Genomic DNA, 22,189 nt, shown 5'->3' with positions numbered 1-22,189 from the left:
GGTCCAGCCTCAGTTCTTGCATCTGTGCAACAAGGCTAGTGATAACCGAATACGTGGGTGCTGTTGGAAGGCTCACACAACAGAAGTTCCTGTAACATGGGAAGTTAGCATGTGCCTTCTGCCTCCCCAGGTGGTTCCTTTACTATTGGTCCAGCTGCTCTTAGTGCCAGGTGCTGTGAGCAGTGATGGAGAGGCCTCTGAGAGCTTCCAGTCTAGGAAGGAAGACAGATGTCAAACAAAATCTCATGTGGGGAAATAAAGGTAGAATCATATGTCTGGGATGGTTATCATTAGAAGGCATGGGAAGAACACCTTTGTGCTAAAAGTGGTCATGACCTTTGGCCCACACAGGAGAATGTGCTGAAACCCACCCACCGAGTTTTGTGGTGGGGTCAGAATTAAGGATTCTGTGGGGAAACTTCACAGATGGGTGGTGCCTGTTCTTGTAGCCTGGGGCCTCTTGACAATCCTAAAGGAATCAGATAGCAGATAGATCATTGTTAATTTGATCCTCATTAAGTATATATATATATATATATATATATTTTTTTTTTTTTTTTTTTTGAGACGGAGTCTCGTTCTGTCGCCCAGGCTGGAGTGCAGTGGCACAATCTTGGCTCACTGCAAGCTCCGCCTCCCTAGTTCACGCCATTCTCCTGCCTCAGCCTCCCGAGTAGCTGGGACTGCAGGTGCCCGCCACCACGCCCGGCTAATTTTCTGTATTTTTAGTAGGGACGGGGTTTCACTGTGTTAGCCAGGATGGTCTTGATCTCCTGACCTCGTGATCCACCCGCCTCGGCTTCCCAAAGTGCTGGGATTACAGGCCTGAGCCACCGTGCCCAGCCCTAAAATGATTTTTTAAAAATTGTTAATTGATAAATAATAGCTGTATATTTATGGTGTACAACGTGATGTTTCTACAATATACGTTGTAGAAAGATTAAATCAAGCTGATTTAACATTTTTTGTGGTGAGACTTTAAAATCTAGGCTCAGCAATTTTGAATATACATTATTATTAACCGATCACCATGCTGTGCAGTAGCTCCCTTAAACACACTCCTCCTGCCTAACTGGAACTTTGTGTCCTTTGCCCAACATCTTCACTTTCTCCACCTCTCCTGCAACTCCAGCCTCTGTAACCACCCATCTAGTCTCTGTTTCGGTGAGTTCTACTTTTTATTTTTTTATTTTAATTTTTAATTTTTTTGAGATACGAGTCTCACTCTGTTGCCAAGGCTGGAGTGCAGTAGTTCAGTTACAGCTCACTGCAGCCTTGACCTCGTGGCCTTGTTTGATCCTCCCACCTCAGCCTCCTGGGTAGTTGGGACCCGCCTCGGCCTCCCGAAATGCTGGGATTACAGGTGTGAGCCACTGTGGCTGGCCAGTTCTACTGTTTTAGATTCCACATATAAGTGAGATCATGCAGTATTTGTCTTTCTGAGCCTGGCTTATTTCGCTTAGCATAATGTTCCCCAGATTTGTCCATGTTGTTGCAAATGACAGGATTTCCTCTTTTTTTTTTGAAGCCTGAATAGTATTTCATTGTGTGTATATACTAAATTTTCTTACTCATTCATCCATTTATGGACACAGGTTATTTCCATTTGAGCCTCACTTTTAAAAATTAAGTTTAGCATATACAGAGACTTAGCCAAAAAAATGTAGCACTTTCAGAAAAGGATAATGTGCTCCATTCACATGAATGTTGTTACATTTTAAAAAATGGGCTGGGCATGTGGCTCATGCCTATAATCCAGCACTTTGGGAGGCCAAGGCAGGAGGATTACTTGAGCCCAGGAGCTCGAAACCAACCTTGGCAATATAGTTAGACCCTGTCTCTACCCCAAAAAAAAAAAAAAAGCTGTGCATGGTGGCATGCCCCTGTAGTCCTAGCTACTCCTATGCAGGAGGCTGAGGTGGGAGGTTTACTTGAGCCTAGGAATTTCAGGCTGTGGTAAGCTATGATTGCACCATGCATTCCAGCCTGGACAGCTGGACAACAGAGCGAGACCCTATCTCAAAAAAATGCAAATGTAGATCAATTTCTCTTCTGGTTGGTCTAATACTAATAGGCCTTCTGTTTCCCAGCATGGATCTGGGCCCTGGGTGCTGGGTCCTGGGTTCTTGTTAAGTGCTTTCTTGGTTTTTGTGTCAGGGCAAGGGGTGGGTGAGAACAGAAGGAGCATCAGGTTCCCTAAGAGGGATGCAGCAAGAACCAGGGTTCGAATTAGGCCCATCGCTGAGGGACAGCAGGACTTGGGACACTGCAAGATGTCAGCAGGCAGTTTTTTTTTCTTTTCTTTTTTTTTTTTTTTTGAGATGGAGTCTCACTCTGTCACCCAGGCTGGAGTGTGGTAGCGCAATCTTGGCTCACTGCAACCACTACCTCTGGGTTCGAGCAGTTCTCCTGCCTCAGCCTCCCGAGTAGCTGGGACTACAGGCGCCCGCCACCATGCCCGGCTAATTTTTGTAGTTTTAGTAAAGATAGGTTTTCACCATATTGGCCAGGCTGGTCTCGAACTCCTGACCTTATGATCCACCTGCCTTGGCCTCCCAAAGTGCTGGGATTACAGGCGTGAGCCACTGTGCCCGGCCAGCAGGCAGTTTTTCATGGTGCAGGGTCATGCGGGACCCTGTACCACATGGTGGACCCAAGTTGCCTTGTATAATCCTCACATGCCCCTGTTAAAGTAGTGCCAGCCCCACTTTGACAGGGGAGGAGACAGAGCCTCAGGGAGGTCCCACCACTGGTAAGCAGTGTGTCCTGATGTTCCCACCACCTGCCCAGTCCAGGGCTGCAGGCTGGGCTTCCTGCATACCACAGTGCCCCTACAGGGAGGACCCTGGAGGGAGTTTGGAGCCAGGCCAGACTTCCCAGAGGAACTCGTCCAGTCTGGCTGCATATGAAGGAAGGGGAAGAGACTGGTCTTTGCCCTGCCCTCTGTGTGACCTTTCAAGAGGTTATTTCCTGCTGGGGCCAGTGTGGGTGAAGTCTCAGGGCAGTGGGAGGGGCCTTTTGCATACTAATGGTTCTGGTTGTTCCCTCTGCTCTCTTCCCCCTCCGTCCCTCTGTCCCCACTGTCACTCATCCTTTAAGGTGACACTTCCTTTGGAAAGCCTCTGTAGACACCTCTTAATGCCACCCAAAAAAACACTGCCTTCCCTGGCTGTTGACACCTTCCCTTTTCCCCTGTGGGTCACCACCCCCTTGAGAATCTGAAGAGCTCCAGATTTCTCATCCACTAAGATTCACCTTCTCACACTCGCCTGTGTTTCTGTCTGGTCATTGACCTCTGGAATCTGTGCACCGAGGATAAGAACCCCTGCCCTGCTCTGTGGGCACTAGGTGCCTACTCGTTCCTCTTCCTCCTCAGTACCCAGCATGGAGTATCTGAGTACAGCATGGAGTACCACAGGGGAGCCAGTCAGTATTTGTCGACTGATAAAGTCTGCTGGAGGAGCTCTGTAGTGCCTCCCTTGAGCACTTGCAGCAAGAATAGGATCAGAGTTGACTTGGGCTGGCTCCCCACACTCCTGACAGACACATGGAGGATATCTGGGCAGGGCCGTGTGACGGGCCTGGCGAGGAGCTGCACTAGGCATGCCGTGGCCTGGCCCTTGAGGTGCCATATGGATGGTGGGGCCCAGCGTGCCTCTCTTCTGAGTGGAGCGGGCCCTCCTTTCCACCGCTGAGGGCACCTTGACAGGTGCTATCCCTTGGCACCAACCTTCGTCAGGCCTTGGGTGTCAAGCCTCACCGTTAGAATGCCTGAAGGCTGCCACACCCTTTCTCTTTGTCCCCTAAGTGCCACCACCTTTTTGTCAAAGGCGCCTTCCTTCCCCCAGTGAGTCACCAGCAGAACCTCAGTTGTTTCTGCTCCTCCCTGTCTCCCCACAGCGTTGAGGCACCTCCTTGTTCTAGTCCACCGCTGTTGACCTAGTTCCCGTCCTTATCTCCAGTCCTTATCTCTAGCCTCGCTGTTCTCCCAGCCTCCCGCTCAGCGCTTTGTTCTTGCTCTGCTCAGAAGCCTTTAGGGAACACATGAACCCACAGGAGAGCAGTGGCTCTTAGCTAATCCCAGCCTCTTGGATGGTAGTCACCACCTGTTCCTGCTGACTCTTGGTGAAGCACTGAATGGGGAATCAGATCTGTCTACACTGCACAGATCATCTGACGTCATCTCCTAATGTCTTGGTGAAGCAGGTATTACAACACTGCCCTGTCTGCTTACAGGATTGCTGAGAACATCTGATAAGGATGATGGGCATGGGAGCTTCCCATGACCTCTGCAGAGGCACACCGTTCTGGGCCTGTGCCCCGCTGGCTTTTCTGCAGCCCTTTCCTTCCTGCCCTGGCCTGATTCTCCCTGTTCTTCAGGCTCCCTAAGCTGCAGGCTTTTCTCCTTCATCATTTCCTTGTAATGGTGATATGATGTCAGTATGATTATCCTCATTTTTGTAGATGAGGAAACTGAGGCCAGACAGGTCATATAACTTGCCCAAGGTCACACAGCCAAGATGAAATGGAGCTGGGATTTCCCCGCTCCTGTGCACTCCTCTACCACAGTGCTGTGCCTGCTGTAGTTGGTGTCAGGCCTGTGGGTGCAAACTGGTACAACAAACGTCTGCCCTCTAGGAACTCTTGGTCTGGTCAGCAGATAGAGTGGATACTCGGACCAAGTCATCCTAGCAGCACATTGAGTGCAGGGGACCCAGAGTGAGGAGCTCTGCAGCCTGACGAGATCTCAGCCTGCCCAGGAGAAGCAGAGTCTCTCCCCCTTTCCCCCTGCCAGTCTCTGGGCAGTAGAGATCTGTGCAGTTTCTGGTCCCAGGCATGGTGGTGTTCAGCTCACTTCTTATCACTCCATCTTCAGGGTGAGTCAGACTCCGGGTGACTGCCCTACCCGCTAAGTGCCCTTGGAACACAGCTCCCACCACGGCAGCACCCGACAGGAAGTCCCTCCACCCCGGCATGGGGCTGCAGTGGCCCTGAGGATGGGCACAAGGTGACACTGGGGAGCCTGCCAAGTTTGCCCCAGCATTGTCTGTCTCTTCCTGTCACCTTCAGGCACTATGTGCCCATCTCTTTTGCTTTTTTCCCCACCCTGGGCCCAAATCAGAACTGGAAAGGCTCAAAGTGGGGCCAGTTTGGCCTCTTCTTAGGGGGCTAGGATTTCGAGGTCTTATTTTCTCTTTAACTTTTGAACAGAGGGCAGTTTCCCATGGACATTATAGCAGGCGTACTCAGAGCTAATGGGGCATATCACCTGGGGATTGGAAAGTGTTTCTGTACCCATGAGTTCCTGGTGAGTCTCTAGCTTCTTCAGGAAGCTAAAGAAGGGTGGGAAGACCCTAGATGAGAAGTTGAATGTCTCTCTCTTAACCCTTTCCTGCTTCTCTTATTTCCTTCTGGAAGGGAGAGCTCTAGTCAGCAGCTCCTAAAAGTTTGAGTCCTTGGGAAGTCTTAGGGAGAGGGAGGGGCTTATTCCTCATCCCCTGAACTCAAGTCCTCCTGCTTCGGCACACCCGCCCCCAGTGACAGTTCCCAGCCCTCATTTTAACTTTAACCCCCCTCCCAAACACAGACACACAGACAGCAGCAGGCTGGGGCAGGTCCAGGCTGGGAGTGGAGGATCTCACCTGACTTCTGGTCTTCCCCGTTCCTCCCATGACACATCTTGTAGGCTACCACAGTGCCCGTTCAGGGTGTCGGCCCTCATGCTGGGCTCAGCCCTCCCACGGTGCTGGAGGAATGCCCTGTGAGCCCTGCCCCTGACAGCATCAGGTGAGGCTGGGCCAGCCATGTGGGCCTGCTCTGCAGGCTGTGACAGTGCTCTTGCTCCGCTCTCATGTCTTTGTAGGCAGTTACCACTCCCAGGAATGCTCTGCCTTCTTTAGCTGCCTCATAATCCCCCAGTGGACATTTAGAATTGAGTTTAAGCATTACTTCCTTCCCCGACAACACCTATCCCTTGCTAATTCCCTAAGTGTACAAGATATTTAGTAAAGCTTTCCTTACTACTCATGGCACAGAGTTACATTTTCTAAGTCTGATCCTTTGAGTAGACTTGAGATTCTTGACGATAGGGTTCTTACTTTATCTTTGTGCCCAAGGTAGACCTGGCCCACAAAGGAGACTGAGGGGTGCAAGGAAAGAGATCTTCATCTTACTGTGGGTGGGAAGGGGCAAGAGGAGGACATAGAGCAGCCTCTCTTCTTCCTCCCTCCTCCTGTAGGCCTGGTTGTTGATTGACCTGCTTCTAGCAGTGGTACTACATTCAGACAGCAATGTGGATTGATTCTGCCCCCACGCTTCATGTGCCATCCAGAGGCAGGTGTACTCATCCATTGAGGGATCCTTCCAGAGAGAGGTGACTGAGGAGCAAAGCCATTGTTGAAACACCGAGTCTGAGGAGATGAGATGGAGGCACGTCCCAAAATTGATAAACCTCTAGCTGGTCTGATAAAGAAAAATGACACAAATTATCAATATCAGTGAACATCACTACAGATCTTACAGACATTAGGCTATTAAGAGAACAATATAAGTCACTTTGTGCCAGTAAATTCAATAACTTAGGTGAAACAGACATCTTGAAAGACATAAATTAATAACACTGGCTGGAGAAGAAATAGAAAATCTATACAGTCCTATAACAAATATTTTCCCAAATAAAACTTCAGGCCAAGATTGCTTCACTGAAGTCTTGTTGAACATTTAAGGAAGAAACAATACCAACTTTGCACAGCTCTAATTTTATTTGTAACAGTTTTGTCCCTGATAAAAAGGATTTCAAACATTAGGAAACAGGTCAGTCAGACTCTGTCCTGAGCAGGGCTGTATTTGAGACCCCCTGAAATCCTGCCTCAAAGGCTTCTTCCTGCTGAAGGCTCTGGGAGGAGGTGAGGGCAGGGGTGCAAGGTCTAGGTGTGGAGATGTGGGCAGGGGTGAGAAATGGGGGAGTACCTCCATTAATAGGCAGATAGGCTATGGGGAGGGCCCCAGCCCAGACCATGACTCTCCTGCCCTCCAGCCATCAGCGTTCCTGAGGTTTACTCTTCTGGAGTTGGTGGAGAGGGTAGCAGTTAAATTGGTAGCATTTCTGAAGGTTGTCTAGCCCAGGCTCTGGGCTAGGCCTTGAGGTGCTCTAGGAGATGCCCCGTGCTGAGAGGTTCTTGAAGGGAAGGGGTAGTAAAGCCTACATGTGAATAGGAATGGCCACAGGCCTGTGCCCTGGGCCTACGGTCAGACCCTGATATGCACTGGGTAGGCCCAGAGGATTCTTTTGCCTGGGAATCTTAGAAGGCTGCTTTGAGGAGGTGGCCTTTGGCCTGGCCTTTAGGACTGGCCAGATGGTGTGTTTTCTTGGGGGTTATCAGAGTAGATATTTCAGGATTTGAGACAAAATGTGGGGTGTAAGAGTGTTCTGGACAGAGCAGATGTGAGGTCGAGATGAATGGCTGTTGTCCTGGGGGTGTGGAGACCCAGTGAGAGCTTTGAGCGGAGGTGCAGTGTGGTCTGACCAGTATCTTTGAAGAGGAGGCCAGGAATGTGGATTGATAAGTTGAAGAGAGACTTAGGGGAGACAGGTTGGAGAAAGAGAGGGAAAAATGCAGGAGGCAGCTGTATTCTCCAGAGTAGAGGGGAAGGCTGGCTGGCAGGCAGGGGTGGAGGGGAATGGCTGGGGGCTTGGTTGTGGTGGGGAGCTAAGGAGGTGGTAGACGAGACTAGGGATTGGGAAGGAGGGAGAAGATGGCAAGATTTGGGAAGGGTATTGAGTGGGGAGTGGGGGTGGTGAGGCATTGAGTCTGATTTAAAGGTCTCAGGGTGAGCGAAGTGTCTCTAAATTCCTGGGGAGGCTGTGCACCTAGGGCCTTGCCTGCTTTCCTACTGAGTGTCCAGCAGGGCCTAGGCTTGGACTTGGGCTGGCTGTGGCCGCATCTGAGCACATGGGACCAGGTCTGAACTGTGTGGGGAGCGCAGGAGAGGCGGGTAGAATCAGAGCTCTTTAGAAACTCAGCGCCACTCTTCCACTCTTGATAGCCTCTCTCTCGTCTCCTTGGCAAGACTGAGGGCCAGGCATCAGGACGACCTGGATCCAGACTTGCAGCTACCGCTGATGGGTTCTGTGACTTTGGACAAATCTTTTCCTTTTCCCTGACTGCCATTTCCCAGGTTTTCCCATGGCTTAAACTGAGGACCTAGAATGGGTGATCCTGCGAGCCCTCCAGGTCTGAGGCTCTTTGAGTCTCTCAGGTAGGGGTGAGCTTCAAGTGGTCTGCGCTTCCCTCCACTATCCCGGGCAGCAAAGGGCCTTATCTTGTGATTCAGGCCAGTGTCACCAAAAGCGATTTTCCTTCCCGTGAATGCCCATTGTCCTATTTATGAATCACTCTTTGTCAGGAAGGCTGAGGTACACCTTATCTCCCCCACTTGTGTGGCCTGTTCATTTGTTCACCTGCTCCTGCCACAGATGTGGATCTTTATCTTTTTTGAGCCCCTGCTCTTTGCACAGCATCCCAGGCTGGGGTCATTTTTAACCTCATGCTGTCTGCAGAGCTAGTGCTGCCCCCCACCCACCAGATTGCTGGGCATTTTTAAAAGTCATTTAGATAGTTGGGTGTTTTCTCATTTATTAATGAATAACTTGGCCTTTGCTGAGGCACTTGAATGTCTCTGGGGCTCCAGGAGGGTGGTGACAGCTGTTTGACCTTGCTTGAGAGCCGAGAAAGGGCATGGTATTTGCAAAGCACTCCTCCCAAAGGCTGGACACTTTCCCGTAGTCCCCACCTACTTCTGCCAGGTGGTTCGGGTTAACAGAACCCCTGTGGAAAGGAGTCGTCTTTGTGGCTGGGGGTCTTGCCCCACTAGCCCAGTGTGGGGAAAGAAGAGCCCTTTCTGCTTTTCCTTCTCTGCCCTTACCCAGGGCAGGTGTCTGCCGCTCCTTCCCCTGAGGTAGGCACTGCAGGGAGTAGCCTTCAGGGTGTCCGCTGGTTGGGAGTTGGGAAGGAATTTTTTGCTAGAATTTGCAGGCTCTGGCTTGCTTCATCGGCTAGTCTTTAGTCAGGGAGGGCTGCATGTGTCAGCAGGGCCCTTGTGGAAGCCCCGTCCAGGTCCCAGCAGCCCTGGGAGCCATTTGGAGAATCCTGACTTGTTTCTCAGTGAAGCATTTATACTCTGTTCTCCCTTCCCTCTTTGGCCATCACCAAGCATCTGCCTGTCCACCCCAGGGCCTGCCTTCCCCAGCAGAGGTCAGTGAACTCTCTCCAGTCTCTCCTCGGTTTCTCCATTGCTTAAGAACACCGGCCAGAGCCCTCTGTGTTCGGCCATTGCCTGCCTTGACTGTCTTACCTGGCAATCATTGTCACCCCCTCCCCCAACCCCAGTCACCTGCATGCTCTTCAGACCACACCCTGCCTTTGTTCAAGCTCTGCTTCCCACCGGGAATGCCCTTCCCACTTCTCTCCCCCTATGCTGTATCACCCAATTCTGCCCAGCCCATCTCTCAGTAGGAAACCTCTCACCCATCGCCCAAGAACCACGTTCCATGTTGACCTCTCTCGTGTAGCTGCTGTCACTTGGTCAGTTATTTTGTTCTCGCTGCCTCGTTGCCATGAGATGAGCTGCCCTGAGTTGGGGTGGGGGGCATGTTGATCTGTTCTCATGACAGAAGCCTTTCTCTGGGCCAGGCCTCCGACCTGGTTTTGGTAGTCTGCTCCCCGGAGGTTGTGTGGCCAAGGAATGGCAGGGTCTGGTTGATGCCTGCAGTCTCCACATAAAGCAGATACCATTCTTAGGAAGGCAGTTGTCAATGGCATAAATAAATGTCTAGGAAAGGTAGTTCAAGTAGCTGTTTTACTTATAATTTATATGCAGGCTCCAGCGCATTCTGTGTCCACCAGAGCAGGCTCCCAATGGAAGGAGCTCACAGATCTCTCTTAGAACACTGCTCTGCGAGAGTCAAAGGCAGGACGCTGCCATAGTGAAGTGAGCATTGTCACCTTCTGGAGTGCCAACCCTGGCATGCAGGGAGACCCACGACAGCTCTGTCTTGGGGCCTCTCAGTCCATGCCCTGGGCCCCAGGTGTGGTCACACGAATTTGTGCATGTGCACACACGCCCTGCGTCAGTTTGTCCACAGGCAGGCTGACCTAACAGAGGTAATCACATAATAAAGGATAAAGTCCAGGAAGACATTTTCTGCTTCAGGTGGAAGCAGTATGGCAGTTTCCTTCTGTTGTGGCCCCCAGTGCACCTGAGAACAAGCATAACATGTCAAGGTTGAGATGAACATGACTCTGTAGACTTCAAAAAGAGGTGCAGTTGGTGGGAAGTCAAAAGAACCAGATTAAGAAAATTTTCATGGAAACTTCAGACTAATTCCCCTTGCCTCTGTCTCCCTGAATATAGCATAGGCCTAGGCAGTGAATCTTGTTGCAAGCCTGGTCCTAGTTCATGTTACTTCTAAAGCGAATCAAATAGGTATTTCTGGAGAGGACTCTGGCCTGAAAGGTGTCTCAGGAGGCCTGAGCTCTCATCCTGCCCTGGTTGCTGGTAACTTCTTTCCCCAGTCTTTCCTAGCTTAGCAGGTGGTTCTGTCTAGACCCATGAAGGTGACTGCTGGCCTGCCAGCATGGCCCCTCCATGGCACCAAGTGGCTGCATTTCTCACCACCTAAAGCCATCCAGCTCTTTCTGTGAGTGTTCTCTAAGGGCTACCAGGTACCTGGGACTGGGCTGGAGTTACGGACTTTTTTTGTTGCTTTTTTTTTTTTTTGAGATGGAGTCTCGCTCTGTCGCCCAGGCTGGAGTGCAGTGGCTTGATCTCGGCTCACTGCAAGCTCTGCCTCCCAGGTTCACGCCATTCTCCTGCCTCAGCCTCCCGAATAGCTGGGACTACAGGCGCCCACTACCACGCCCAGCTAATTTTTTTGTGTGTTTTTAGTAGAGATGGGGTTTCGCCGTGTTAGCCAGGATGGTTGCGATCTCCTGACCTCGAGATCCGCCCACCTCGGCCTCCTGAAGTGCTGGGATTACAGGCATGAGCCACCGCGCCCAGCCAAGAGTTATGGATTTTTAAATTCTGCACAGGCAATGAGGCTCCAGTTGTGCCTATGAGATGCAGCAGGCGTGTACCCTGTTGGAGTCTGGGACACCAAGCTGGGCCCTGCCAGGTGCCCCCCTTCTGAGATGTCCTGTTCTTTAGCTCCCTGGGCCACGTGGACTGGAAGTAGGAGCTTTCAACTGAGCTGGTGGTTTTCTCCCTTTCTTTGCAGGACAAGGAAGATGGGGAGCCAAAGACCAAGCATCTCAGAGAAGAGGAGGAAGAAGGCGAGAAGCACAGGTAATGCCCGTGTGCAGCTCCAGGGTCTGCTCTCTCCTCCAGCACTCATCGGTCTCCCAGTCTCTGGGTCCTCCCAACTCTGTTCAGTGTCTGCCCTGTTCCCTCCCCTCTTCTTTCTGCCCATGGCTGTCCTGTTCAGACCTTAAAATCTCAACATCTCAGAAGGCCCTTGTCGAGGCCTTCTCTGCCTCCTTTCCCTCATTTTCCATTTGGCTGTTACTCAGCCCCCAGCATTTTCTTTCTAGCCCTTACATTATGCCTTTTTACCCTTCTCATACACCTTTTGTGGCGTGGTTCTCCATTGCCTACTGAGTAAGTGCCCCTTCTGCACTTGGCATGTGAAGCTCTGCCTGGACCATCTAGCCTCATCCAACCTCCTCTGGTTTCCCTCTAGCCAGAGCCCTTTGTGGTCGGCCCTTGCCACCTCTGGCCACTCAGCATTTCCTGACCAGTCTTTTGTCCGTCCTCTCAGCCTGGAGGTCCTTCTCATCTCTCCTATACCTTTGATGTCTGGGTCTTCACATAGAGTTCAGCTCAAAGGGCGCCTTTCTCGTTGTCTGTGTCCCTCTGGCTTCATTTCCCTCTGTAGTATTTATCTTATTTTGTCGAATACTCTCATCTGGTTGGGTCCACTTAAGTTGCCTAAACACAGCACACGTGAGGGTCTTGGGTACACTTCCCTCGTGATTGCAGGCACAAGGTCTTCCCCCGCAGTCTTGAGGGCTGCAACCTCCACAGAGCCTCAGATGCTGCTTTGCCTCCCAAAAATCTGGAGCCTGGAAACTGTTGCCGGAACCAGTGTGTGGGGTGAGCGAGGCAAAGCTGTGCTGCTGATCTTTGTGAGCAGAGTGTCTGACTACCACTCCCGTGTCAGCAGTTCCAGAGGTCTCATGTCCTCCCTCCCATGCCTAGCCCTGAGATGGGGCTCTCTTCCTGGGGCCAGACTGTGTGTCTTTCTGGACAGGTTGCCTTGATTTCCTTTGCTCTGAGCAGCTTCCTTCAGGCACAGGGGGGTGTAGATCTTGATGGGCTTAGGCTCTGCTTTGCCCAGGGGGAGCGGGAGGGGAGGGAATGCTCTTTAGAGGAAGCTGGGCAGCCACACCAGAGCAGGCTTTCCTAATGCCACAGCCTTTTTTCACCTTCACCAGTATGAGTAGAACCTCCCCACATGCGGGCCTCATCTCTGCCTTTGTAATCAGGAGCAATCACAGACACGACTTACAGAGTGTTTTCACACCATCCTGAGAGCCCTGCAGAGTCCATGCCCCCTACTCGGGTTCAGACATGCTACCAGCTCTATGCTTAGAGGCTGGTGATGCTAAACAGTGAGTGGGTCTGCCGGCACTGGGCCTGGGGCTTTTTGTTGGGCCTCAGCCCCCAGCTCTTGAAGGTCCCTGGCTGGTGATGGGAAGATGAAGGCCAGTTAGTTGCTCCTTTGCCAGGTGACCCCAACATATGTGGCTTTATGGGTGGGTGCTGGCACAGTTTCCCCCATTCTGTGGTAACTACATATTAGAGGCCCTTTGGTCTTCTGGTTTATTCTTAGTTTCTCAAAAACTGGAACTCTGGCTGGAGCCTGAGTTCCAGTTTCTGGGCTTTGATTTGCTGGTGGTGTTTTCTCTGATCCCCACCCCTCCCCCTCCTCGATGAGAGAGAAGGGTCGCTGGTTTAGCAGGTGGGTGGGTGGGTCATACAGTAAGAGGCTTGAATGTTGAACCATATGGTTGTGAATCTCAAACATGGTGTTGAGTGAAGGAAAAAAGCAGGTTTCAGAATTGAGGCATACAGGGCAGGAACATTTATATCAAATTTAGGAACACAAAATGATATATGTGTGTTACTCAGTTGGCAAGTACTGACTTTATTGGTTGTCTGCTCTGTGCAGGGCACCATTGTGGGCCCCTGGAAGGCAACAGCAGACAAAGTACAGCCCCTACCCTCATGGAGCTGACATTTTCTGGAAGGAGACAGGCTGTTAACGAAGAAGCAGGCGTGTGATACAGTGTCAGGTGCTGCCAAGAAAGCGAAAGCAGAAGTGTAAACACATACATGAGGAGTGATGCCTCCGATTGCTGTCTGGGGAAGCAAGGAGGAAACAGGATTAGGGAAAGGCTCTATGATGTGTGATTTTTTTTTTCTTTTTTTTGAGATGGGGTCTCGCTCTGTCACCCAGGCTGGAGTGCAGTGGCGCTATCTCAGTTCACTGCAACCTCCACGTGGCTCCCAAGCTCAAGCGATCTTCCCACCTCAGCCTCCCAAGAAGCTGGGACCACAGGTGCGCACCACTATGCCCAGCTAATTTTTGGTACAAAAACAACATGGTTTCACCAGGTTGCCCAGGCTGGTCTCAAACTCCTGAGCTCAGGCAGTCCACCCACTTCAGCCTCCCAAAAGTGTTGGAATTACAGGTGTGAGCCAGTGGACCTGGCCAATGATGTGTGATTTTGTTGTACCAAAAAAAAAAAAAAAAAAAAAAAAACAGGAGGGGAACAAACCTGTCTGGAATATGGCAAAACATTACTTTTATTGACTCTGCAGGAGGTGAGTATATGTGTTAGGTTATTCTCCGGACTTTTCTGTGTGCCTGAGATATATCATAATGAAAACTGTGGGAAAAAAACCAAAGGGCATGTGTAGTTCCAGGCTCCTGTCAGTGAGTTCTAGATAAAAGAGGCCCTGCCATGTGAGGACCTGCTTCCTGTTAGGTCTTACAGGTCATTTGTAGTGGAGCACAAGACCTGCTCTGAGGCCCTGTCCTGAGCCCACTGAGCTGGGCAGGTGCAGGGCCCTGTTTTGTTTTTTCTCACCGCAGCCCAGGGACCAACCATGCTGGACATTGAATTGGGTTCTGCTTCAGCTCATCATATTCTTCTGCTTTGCTCTAATCTGGCCTCTTTTGAGGCAGTGGAGCATGGTGGAACAGGTTTGCCTCCCAGTCGTTGAGAGCTTGGCTTTTGGGGCTGTCCTTCTAGAGACTTTGGGCAGGTGGACTTCTAGCATCCTGTACCTGGCAGGGCCTGCTACTCGGTCACTCCCTTGGTTGCCAGGAAGCCTAGCCTTAGCAAGGAGTTGTGCCTGTATTTGTAGGCCCCAGAGAAAAGCAGACTCTTCTGACTTTAACAGATCCAGAGCAGAGGGCTTGCTCAGGTTATTTAGGAAGGCAGATTAGAACATTGGTTGCCTAACACAGGGCCAGACCTATGTGGACGTAACTTTAGACTGCAGGGTCCAGGGATTGGGGATGATGGACTTTCCAGGAAGAGCAGGATGCAGCAGAGGCCGTGTCCATCCCAGGGGATCTTGCTTTTTATTTGTACCCCAAGTCTGGAAAGGGGCTCTCATGCAGGATGCTTATGGATTGGGAGCTGATTCCAGAGAACCCCCTAGGCCATAGCCCCTGCTACAGCCTCCTTTGCCACTGGAGAGAAAGAAGTGACCTTCCAGTCCATTGGAGAGATGACCCCTGAGGCCATTCGCCAGTGAGCATCCTTCTTCCTCGGCTGCTGGGAGGCGAGAACAGCCTACTTCAGTCAGGGTCACTCTGGGTTGAGCCCAGGTGCCAGGTGTGAAGCCCCACCAGCACCCGCCATTCTGGAGTGTGCTGAGAGGAGTGTGGTGCCCACTCAGGGGTGCTTTCAACTAACACTGTCCTGCCTTCAGTGGGACAAGGCCTTATGGAGAACATACCTTTTAAGTCTGGAATCCAGATGGTAGGGTTTGGGTGGCAAAGGTCCAGAGGCATGAATCTGCAGTGTGAAAGGGTGGGTGGTATAGCCTCTTGTTGGGGAGGCATGAACAGACATCACCCCAACTCTCCTTTACACAGTGTCCCTGGGGGCCCCTTCCAGTCTGACCCCCTCACCATCTCAGGAGTGACGCCAAGGGAGTTACACAGATCTGCATCTGAGACCAAGGGCCCAACCTGGATGGGAAAGACTAAGTTGTCTCTGATGCGTCCCTGACCCAGGCCCTACAGAGAGATGGAGGGGGCGCCCTCCTCTTCCTCTTGTTCCCTAGTTTCTCCTCTTATGCCCTGACCAGGATTCCTCCCTGAGTCATTCCATCCCACACGGCCACTCAGCTCTGAACTCTAATGACTGGGTGACCCCAGGGCCTGCTGCCTGTGAGTGTCTCGGCTCCCTATGTCCCATTAGCTGGCAGAGAGCAGGGTCCATCTGCCTCAGTTACTCTCCAGGTCACTCAGTGTCCCCTGCCTGGTGGTCAGTTCCATATATTGATGTAGCTAGTTCATCATGCTTTAAATTTTTTTTTTCTGCTTTAATTTAGGGACTTAGGGGAAGAACACATGTTGAGAAGATTCTTGGTTCAGCAGCAGTCCCTGAAATGAAAGGACATAGACAGATGGAGTAAGGTCAAGCTTTGGAAGCAGTTCCCGGGTTTGAGGCCAAGCCCTGCCAGTTAATTTTCTAACCCTGGGCAAGTCACATTGCCTCAGTGAGCCGCAGAATCTTCAACCAAAGGTGGAAAAAAATGAAATAAAACTTGCTTCACCTGACGAACAGAGCAAATGCCATACCTGTTTGCCCAGCTAGTGCTGGGGCTCTGGGCAGAAGGAAGGCACCGTGAGGTCCTCCCGAGAGAGTGAAAGGACTCTGGACACACCTCGAAAAGGCAGAAGTAACTTTTACATAAAGCATGTGCCAGCTTTGCAAATAAGGCAACAGTTGGGGGAAATGTGAGGCAATGGATGGGAGTAGAAATAAGGAAATGTGACTTAGAAGTTTGTGATTAGGAACCACTTTGTAGAGCCTCGCTTATTTGCTGCATTAGATAGTCCTTGGAAATAAGCTGAGTGGTCTCATTTTGCAGATTCATTTGTCTAACCAGATACACTGTAGGGCCAGGGTTTGTGGCTAAGTAAATGAAAATCCAGCAGGATTGGAGGGAGCCACCCCAGGACCTTGCCCCTCACCAGCCATCTTGAAGAGCCACTCGCCTGCCTGCCTGTGTTCCTGCCCCACTGCCTGAGGAGACCTTTTCAGAATTATGTTAGCTATTCTAACAGTTCCTTTGCCTTTCCTTATGCATTTTATAGTTAGCTTGTTAATATCTATTAGAAAAAGCTTGCTGGGATTTTGATAGAATTGCATTGAATCTATAGATCCAGATTCCTTTTTAAAATTTGTATTATTCTCCTAGGATAAATCCTGTCCTATCCCCATACAACCAAATCCCCATTGGGTGGGAGTGAGCTCCAGCAGCTCCACCAGCCCAGGCTCTGTGGGAAGAAAGGATGCATTCCTACCCCTAGATGGGCCCTACTTCTCTGGGCTGACTCTTCCCTGTCTCTGCCAGCCCTCTTGTAGCTAACTCTGTAGAGGCATGGATGACTCATCCCTAAGGCAGCTCCCTTCCCCCAGCCCCCTGTGTACTGCCCAGATAAGATGTGCCCTGGAAAGCTGGCCCATGGAAGAGGGCATTCAGGGGCGTTCATGTCAGTGTCAGCTGCTTAGCTGCTTTTTTTTTTTTTAAAAAGCTCTCCGTCACTTCTTCCTGATGGGAGGTTGGCTGATATGTGCCATGGAGGCATGTCTAGGGCAGCGTTTGTGGCTGACAGCCATTGCCACCCTGCCTTGTGGGATGGATGGACTGTTGGGTTGGGGCTGACAGGTGGGAGGAGAAGGGAGGAGGCACTTAACCAGGAGCACTCGCCTCCTCCTATGCCAGAAAGTGCCTGAACAAGCAAGTCCCGACCTCCCAACCTCCACAGCCACCACCTCCCTGTGGCTTTGTATGGAGGTCTGCACACAGCTGGAAAAGTCGGTCACCATCAGAGATAGTTGTTTGACCGGTGCTGGGTGTCACATATTGCAAAAGCAATGAGGCCACTAGCCTTCCTTCTTCAGAGATGGAAAATCTGTTCCCCAGCTCAATGTGTGCATGACCCTCTTGTGGAGAGACTTCCCACCCCAGCTAAGGCCCAGCCCTGGCCCAGTGCCCAAACCCTTGAGTCCAGCCAATGCCAGGCCTCTCTGCTCTGTGTGCTGGGCCCCACTGATGGTTTCCACACACCAGGGTGTATCACAGATCATGGTTGTTTGATCCATGACATCAGCTTGATTTGGCATGCATTGTTCCACCGTAGTGGTACCGACCAGGGCGGCTCCCATCACGCCTCCTGAGTTCTTTCAGTCCCACTGTAGAGGATGTCTACATCTGGTGATGTCCCAGTCATGGGCAGTGGAGATCTCCTGCTGAAGCAGCAGCACAGGGACCCACGACTGCCTCGTTTTTCCTGACCCTGTTTCTTGGGAATAGGCCTGGGAATGTGGGAGAATGAATCAAGAGAGAACTGGTTTAAGGAAGATGGTGAAGCCGACTCACCATGTGCTGGCACCGGGCACCTCCCTTCTGGGTAGGGTGGGGTAGGAGCACAGCTGAATCCTTTCTGTGTGCATTAAGTCTTGATATCTTGTATGTCCTGATCTCAGCTTCCAAAGCCCCTCTTATGAAGTCTTCACCTCTGTTCTGGGACTAATGTGATCTGCATTTATAGGTGAAGAAACTACAGTCCAGGCAGGTGAAGTGACTTGGCTAAAATTTCCTTGGCTAAAATCCTCCAACTTTTGAAAGGGAGTGGAGCTGGCACTGAGACCCCTCCCTGTGTGGGGAAAAGAGTCTTTGGCAGAGTGCAGCAGCTGCTGGCAGTTTGCCACTCAGGGCAGCCTTATGGGGTTGAGCACCATCCACTTTCCCAGAGTGGTCTGTGGGCTAGATTGGGCCCTGGGAGGGTGAGGGGCAGTGGGCTATGCAGGCCCCTGTCCCCCAACATCTGGGTCCCACATGGCCAGTGTGACCAATCCAGTTCTCACCTTATGGGCCCTTTGGGGCTTAGCTCATCTGCCATAAACGTTTACTCCTCTCCTGTTTTAAAATTTAAATTGATATTTACAACCGGGTGCTGTGGCTCACGCCTGTAATCCCAGCACTTTGGGAGGCTGAGGCAGGAGAATGGAGTGAACCCGGGAGGCGGAGCTTGTAGTGAGCCGAGATTGCTCCACTGCACTCCAGTGGACGACAGAGCGAGACTCCATCTCAAAAAAAAAAAAATTTTCAATTGATATTTACATAAATTATAGATTTTTTTATTGTAGAAAACTTAGAAACTACAGATCAACATGTATCTGTGCATATCATGCTGTTTTGTAACATTTTTTCATGAGCCGTGTCATGACTATCTTTTGGTAAATACACTTTCATGAAATTATGGCAGCTTAATATTTCTTTGAGAGTACCATGATTTATTTTTCAGTCTTGGGGTTTTTTGTTTTGCTTTTGGCAGACCAGTTTTTTCTAACGCCTTAAGTACCCACTAGCTATGGGCTTTCAGGTGGGATGGGTGCAAAGTTCAAACTTGTCAGTGTAGAGCACCTTGGTTAGGTTCTGCAGCGTCTGGGATGAGAGTGGGTGCAGACCGCATGATGCAGATGCGATGGCAGCTCCAGCAGGGCAGGGGCCTCATTTAACTAACACTCAGCCCTGGTCATTGCCTGGAACAGCCGTTGGCTGCTTATAAGCCATCCCTCAGGGGCCTTTGGGTAGGCCTTGGTGCCAACACGTGGCCATAGCTGTTGATCTGTCTTGGTGGGGGCTCCCATACAGATCTCATCCCCAGCCAGCTCTGGCTTCTCCGGCCTCCTTGTTTTTAAGGCAAGGGCTTGACTGTACTACTTCTGAAGCTCCTTCTGCCTCTAAGACCTGTGACCTAAAATTGTAATTTTTAGGGCTGAGGAAGGCTTCTCCTGGCAGTGGGGAGAGCTGAGAGGCTGGGCTCCCGTTGAGGGAGGGAGTTTCCAGGATAATGCTGTAGGCTGAACTCCACTGTGGGGTAGGCTGCAGGAGTTTTTCCTTTGAGGAACACTTGAGCACTCAGAGCCCTGGCACAGCCACCTGCAGCCCTGGCCAGGCCCCAGTCACTGTGTCAGGTAGCTTCTCTACTGCAGTTGCTGGTCCCTGAGGAGCCAGATGCAGGAAGCTGGTGTGGGGTCCACCCCTAGGCCAGAGAGCAGGGTGTGGATTCTGCCTCCGGCTCTTCCTTCAACTCTGGCACCTTGGATAGTCTTTCTGGACTGTTTTCCACATTGAGAAAATGTCAGTGACACCCTCTTCCTCTGTGGAAGGGTGGTCTCGAGAGGTGGCCTCTGAGAGGCCATGTGTGGAGGCTGCCCCTACTGGGGAGGGTGCATTATCTCATGCTTTCTGGCCTGTGGTTTCAGGTGGGGGCACAAAGGCGCTCCCACTCCTTTTTCTGAAACCCGCTGAGGACGCATTTGCCAGGACTTGCTTGGAGGCCTGTCCACCCCCTGAGGCTGTGATGTGGCCCTGTCCTGCCCATGGTCACTTCTTGTGTCATGTGCTCCAATAGACCTTGTCCTCTTTGTGTGGCCAGAAGGACAGGAGGCTTGGGGTGGGCTGGATAAGAGAAGGGAAGGGAGGTTTTATTGCCTTACACTGTACCCGTTCTTCAGGCTGGGGCCACAGTTGCCTTGCTGGGTGACAGCTGGAGGACAGTCTCCTCTGCCCACGAGTGGGGAAGCCACTGGGCTCTTTAAAAGTCTCATTTGCTGCAAAGCCAGCCATTGAGTGTTCTAAAGAAAAATATCAACCACCAAACAAAAACATCCCTGTACTAAATTGTCCTTTGCCCTCATAGCCTGGTGGTACTTTAGGCCACTCTAGGGCACTCTGCCAGAAGAGATCCCAGAGGTGTTGTAGCTATTATGAATTATGCTGCCAGGATCGTGCGTATATAGAATGCTTTGTTTTGCTTGCTCCTGTCTTGTTACTATTTCTATGGAATAATTTCCCCAGAGCAGGGTTACCGGGTCAGGGAGTTTGAACATTTTAATGGCCCTTGAAAGAAAGACCAGATCAGCCTCTAGAGCAGTTGTGTACCTCATTTGGGGTAGTTGCCTCTCCCCTCATTTTCATGCTTCTGTCGAGTCTGGCCTCTGGCAGCAGCAACTGAAGCCTTGTTATTTATATTGGGGACAAGGGGTAGGTCTCTATGTGCAGAGCCTAAAGCAAACAGAGGATTATTAGGGGCATGTCTGAGTGTCATGAGTGTGTTTTCCTGGCAGAGCTCCAGTGTCTCTGTACTCTGAATATTAAAAATGAAAGTGTTCTTTGATCAAAGTTGCCAGTCTCTCTGGTCAGTGGTGGCCTCTGCAAGGCCTGCAGGCGCATCCTGGGCGTGGCCTTCCCTGTGGTCTGTTACTAGGAGGAGTGCCTCACAGCAGTTCTCTCTCTGGCCCTTGATGGGGCCTGTATGGCCAGGAGGGACCAGGGTGGCCAGGTGGAGGACCTTGTTCTCAGGGAACAGGCCATGTGGGACTGTCCTGTCCTTATCCTCTCTGCCTCCCTCCAGGGGCCCAGGGCAGCAGGTGAATGTGGAGTAGCCTCAAGATATAAGGGATGAGAAGGGAGGCTAGCGCCCCAAAGGATAAGCCTGGTAGCATGAGTGAGTGAAGTGGACCAGGGGCCATGAAACCCCCATGAGCAGTGTAGGCTTTGAGGCCAGTTTGCCAGTGATGGGGTTGGATCAGATTCATAATCTCAAAGCTTCCTTTCATTTCGCCATTCTAGAACTCTACTCTGGTTCTATACTTGACAGAGAACATCAACTTTCTCCACCTGCTTCCTCTCATTGGCACATGTGAAAAAGCACCCTAGGGGTGATTTCCCCTGAACCTCCCTGGCCAGCCCATGTCCCGGGCTCCTGCAGCTGGCCTGAAGCAGAGTAAAGTAAATAGAAAAGGTCAGCTACCCATTTTAGAAGGAAACTCTATGGAATGCAAACTTGGCATTCCCTGTTGCTTTGCCACAAAGAAGTTGCTTAGGGGTTGGCTGCCCCGGCCCAGCCACATTCCTGCCCTCTCTGCTGGGCACAACTTCTTTGCTTCCAAATGTCTTCTCAAGTCATTGAAAGGCTCAGAGAGCCCCAGGCTACCCATAAAGCTCTTTCTTGAGTGCCTTCTGAATTCCTTTATCCAGCTTGAGGCAATGTATGCTGAGCCCCTCCTGGAGCTGCCTGGTGCATTTAGGGCAGGCTGTGAAAGACAGACATGCAGCCGACACAGGGCCACGTGCATGGAGTGGGGCCTGCTGTGGAGAGGGTAGAGAGGCAAGTGGGGCAAAGGGGGCCCAGGAGAAGGGCGGTTACTGTGCCTCAGGGTGAGTAGGGACACTGGGAGGGGCCCACAGGGCCACCTCCTGGAGCTGGCTCTTTAAGCGTGATGGACGGGGAAGTGTGTAGCTGAGGGGGTGAGCAGGCTGTGGGGCCAGGACCACGTGAAGAAGCTTAGACTTGTTTTGGGGACACTGGGGTCCCTGAGTCAGAGGGAGGGCCAGTGGAGGCACTGAGGTGGCTGATGTGTCTGCTCCTGTGGAGAGACAGCAAAGCTCCACCCAGACACTGGCTGCCGGTATAGGGTGGACTTTGGGTGGCCTAGGGCATTTGGTGCAAAGGATAGTGTCTTAGAAGCCATTGGGCTTTCTGGGCTGCCCTCCTTCCCATAGACTCTGGGGGCAGAAAGCCCCAAAAAAGCATGGCTTGGTCTCTGCTTCCCTTTGGCTAGGGGACAGCCTGGCCCTAAGCCACAGAGACTGGCCACCAGCAGAGCTGAGGTGCTGGTGCTGCCTGACTCAGAACCCTGCCACAGTCTTCTGCTGCCTTATGGCCCCTCTGCCTGTTTCCTCTTTATGTTTTTGAGTACTTCGTTGGTTGTTTCTGTGTAGGAAGAATACTGATTAGAAATTCCGGAAACTACAGAAAATCAGAGAAGCAAGTAAAAATCACTCAGAGCTGGACATGGTGGCTCAT

General features: G+C 51.3%; 1 protein-coding gene and 1 long non-coding RNA gene across 4 annotated transcripts in view, besides 9 other annotated features; both read left to right on the top strand.

The window, feature by feature from the left end:
• The window catches only part of CCDC12 (coiled-coil domain containing 12), a 60,265-nt gene that overhangs the window by 29,651 nt on the left and 8,425 nt on the right, over window positions 1–22,189 (top strand). For all 3 annotated transcript variants that reach the window (NR_102269.2, NM_144716.6, NM_001277074.2), the window contains one exon: window positions 11,279–11,346. Coding sequence is in view for 2 of the 3 variants with exons in the window: in NM_144716.6 (NP_653317.2) it covers window positions 11,279–11,346 (68 nt within the window). In the remaining variant the exon portion in view is untranslated. The remainder of the gene's footprint in view (window positions 1–11,278; window positions 11,347–22,189) is intronic.
• Window positions 3,811–4,105: a silencer, noted in NCBI's record as "tiled region #10220; HepG2 Repressive DNase matched - State 5:Enh". NCBI's record gives its function as "represses a minimal TATA promoter and a strong SV40 promoter by Sharpr-MPRA in HepG2 cells {active_cell/tissue: HepG2}" and the evidence as "EXISTENCE:reporter gene assay evidence [ECO:0000049][PMID:27701403]".
• Window positions 11,546–12,045: an enhancer, noted in NCBI's record as "H3K27ac hESC enhancer chr3:46981789-46982288 (GRCh37/hg19 assembly coordinates)". NCBI's record gives its function as "activates a minimal SCP1, AML or CMV promoter by ChIP-STARR-seq in naive H9 embryonic stem cells {active_cell/tissue: H9 hESC(naive)}" and the evidence as "EXISTENCE:reporter gene assay evidence [ECO:0000049][PMID:30033119]".
• Window positions 12,046–12,547: an enhancer, noted in NCBI's record as "H3K27ac hESC enhancer chr3:46981287-46981788 (GRCh37/hg19 assembly coordinates)". NCBI's record gives its function as "activates a minimal SCP1, AML or CMV promoter by ChIP-STARR-seq in naive and primed H9 embryonic stem cells {active_cell/tissue: H9 hESC(naive and primed)}" and the evidence as "EXISTENCE:reporter gene assay evidence [ECO:0000049][PMID:30033119]".
• On the top strand, window positions 13,588–15,862 carry LOC124909375 (uncharacterized). The gene is made up of 2 exons (XR_007095901.1): window positions 13,588–13,621; window positions 15,634–15,862. It is a non-coding gene; the product is annotated as an uncharacterized LOC124909375 (long non-coding RNA).
• Window positions 16,551–16,845: an enhancer, noted in NCBI's record as "tiled region #2536; HepG2 Activating DNase matched - State 5:Enh, and K562 Activating DNase unmatched - State 25:Art". NCBI's record gives its function as "activates a minimal TATA promoter and a strong SV40 promoter by Sharpr-MPRA in HepG2 and K562 cells {active_cell/tissue: HepG2 | K562}" and the evidence as "EXISTENCE:reporter gene assay evidence [ECO:0000049][PMID:27701403]".
• Window positions 17,812–18,579: an enhancer, noted in NCBI's record as "H3K27ac-H3K4me1 hESC enhancer chr3:46975255-46976022 (GRCh37/hg19 assembly coordinates)". NCBI's record gives its function as "activates a minimal SCP1, AML or CMV promoter by ChIP-STARR-seq in primed H9 embryonic stem cells {active_cell/tissue: H9 hESC(primed)}" and the evidence as "EXISTENCE:reporter gene assay evidence [ECO:0000049][PMID:30033119]".
• Window positions 20,408–20,517: an enhancer, noted in NCBI's record as "active region_19802". NCBI's record gives its function as "activates an Ori minimal core promoter by ATAC-STARR-seq in GM12878 lymphoblastoid cells {active_cell/tissue: GM12878}" and the evidence as "EXISTENCE:reporter gene assay evidence [ECO:0000049][PMID:35858748]".
• Window positions 20,708–21,223: an enhancer, noted in NCBI's record as "NANOG-H3K4me1 hESC enhancer chr3:46972611-46973126 (GRCh37/hg19 assembly coordinates)". NCBI's record gives its function as "activates a minimal SCP1, AML or CMV promoter by ChIP-STARR-seq in primed H9 embryonic stem cells {active_cell/tissue: H9 hESC(primed)}" and the evidence as "EXISTENCE:reporter gene assay evidence [ECO:0000049][PMID:30033119]".
• Window positions 21,224–21,739: an enhancer, noted in NCBI's record as "NANOG-H3K27ac-H3K4me1 hESC enhancer chr3:46972095-46972610 (GRCh37/hg19 assembly coordinates)". NCBI's record gives its function as "activates a minimal SCP1, AML or CMV promoter by ChIP-STARR-seq in primed H9 embryonic stem cells {active_cell/tissue: H9 hESC(primed)}" and the evidence as "EXISTENCE:reporter gene assay evidence [ECO:0000049][PMID:30033119]".
• Window positions 21,668–21,717: an enhancer, noted in NCBI's record as "active region_19801". NCBI's record gives its function as "activates an Ori minimal core promoter by ATAC-STARR-seq in GM12878 lymphoblastoid cells {active_cell/tissue: GM12878}" and the evidence as "EXISTENCE:reporter gene assay evidence [ECO:0000049][PMID:35858748]".

Source organism: Homo sapiens, chromosome 3 (genome assembly GCF_000001405.40).
Source record: "Homo sapiens chromosome 3, GRCh38.p14 Primary Assembly".
NCBI lineage: Eukaryota > Metazoa > Chordata > Mammalia > Primates > Hominidae > Homo > Homo sapiens.
Note: the sequence above shows the minus strand (reverse complement) of the source record. Positions and strands in the feature narration are given on the sequence as shown.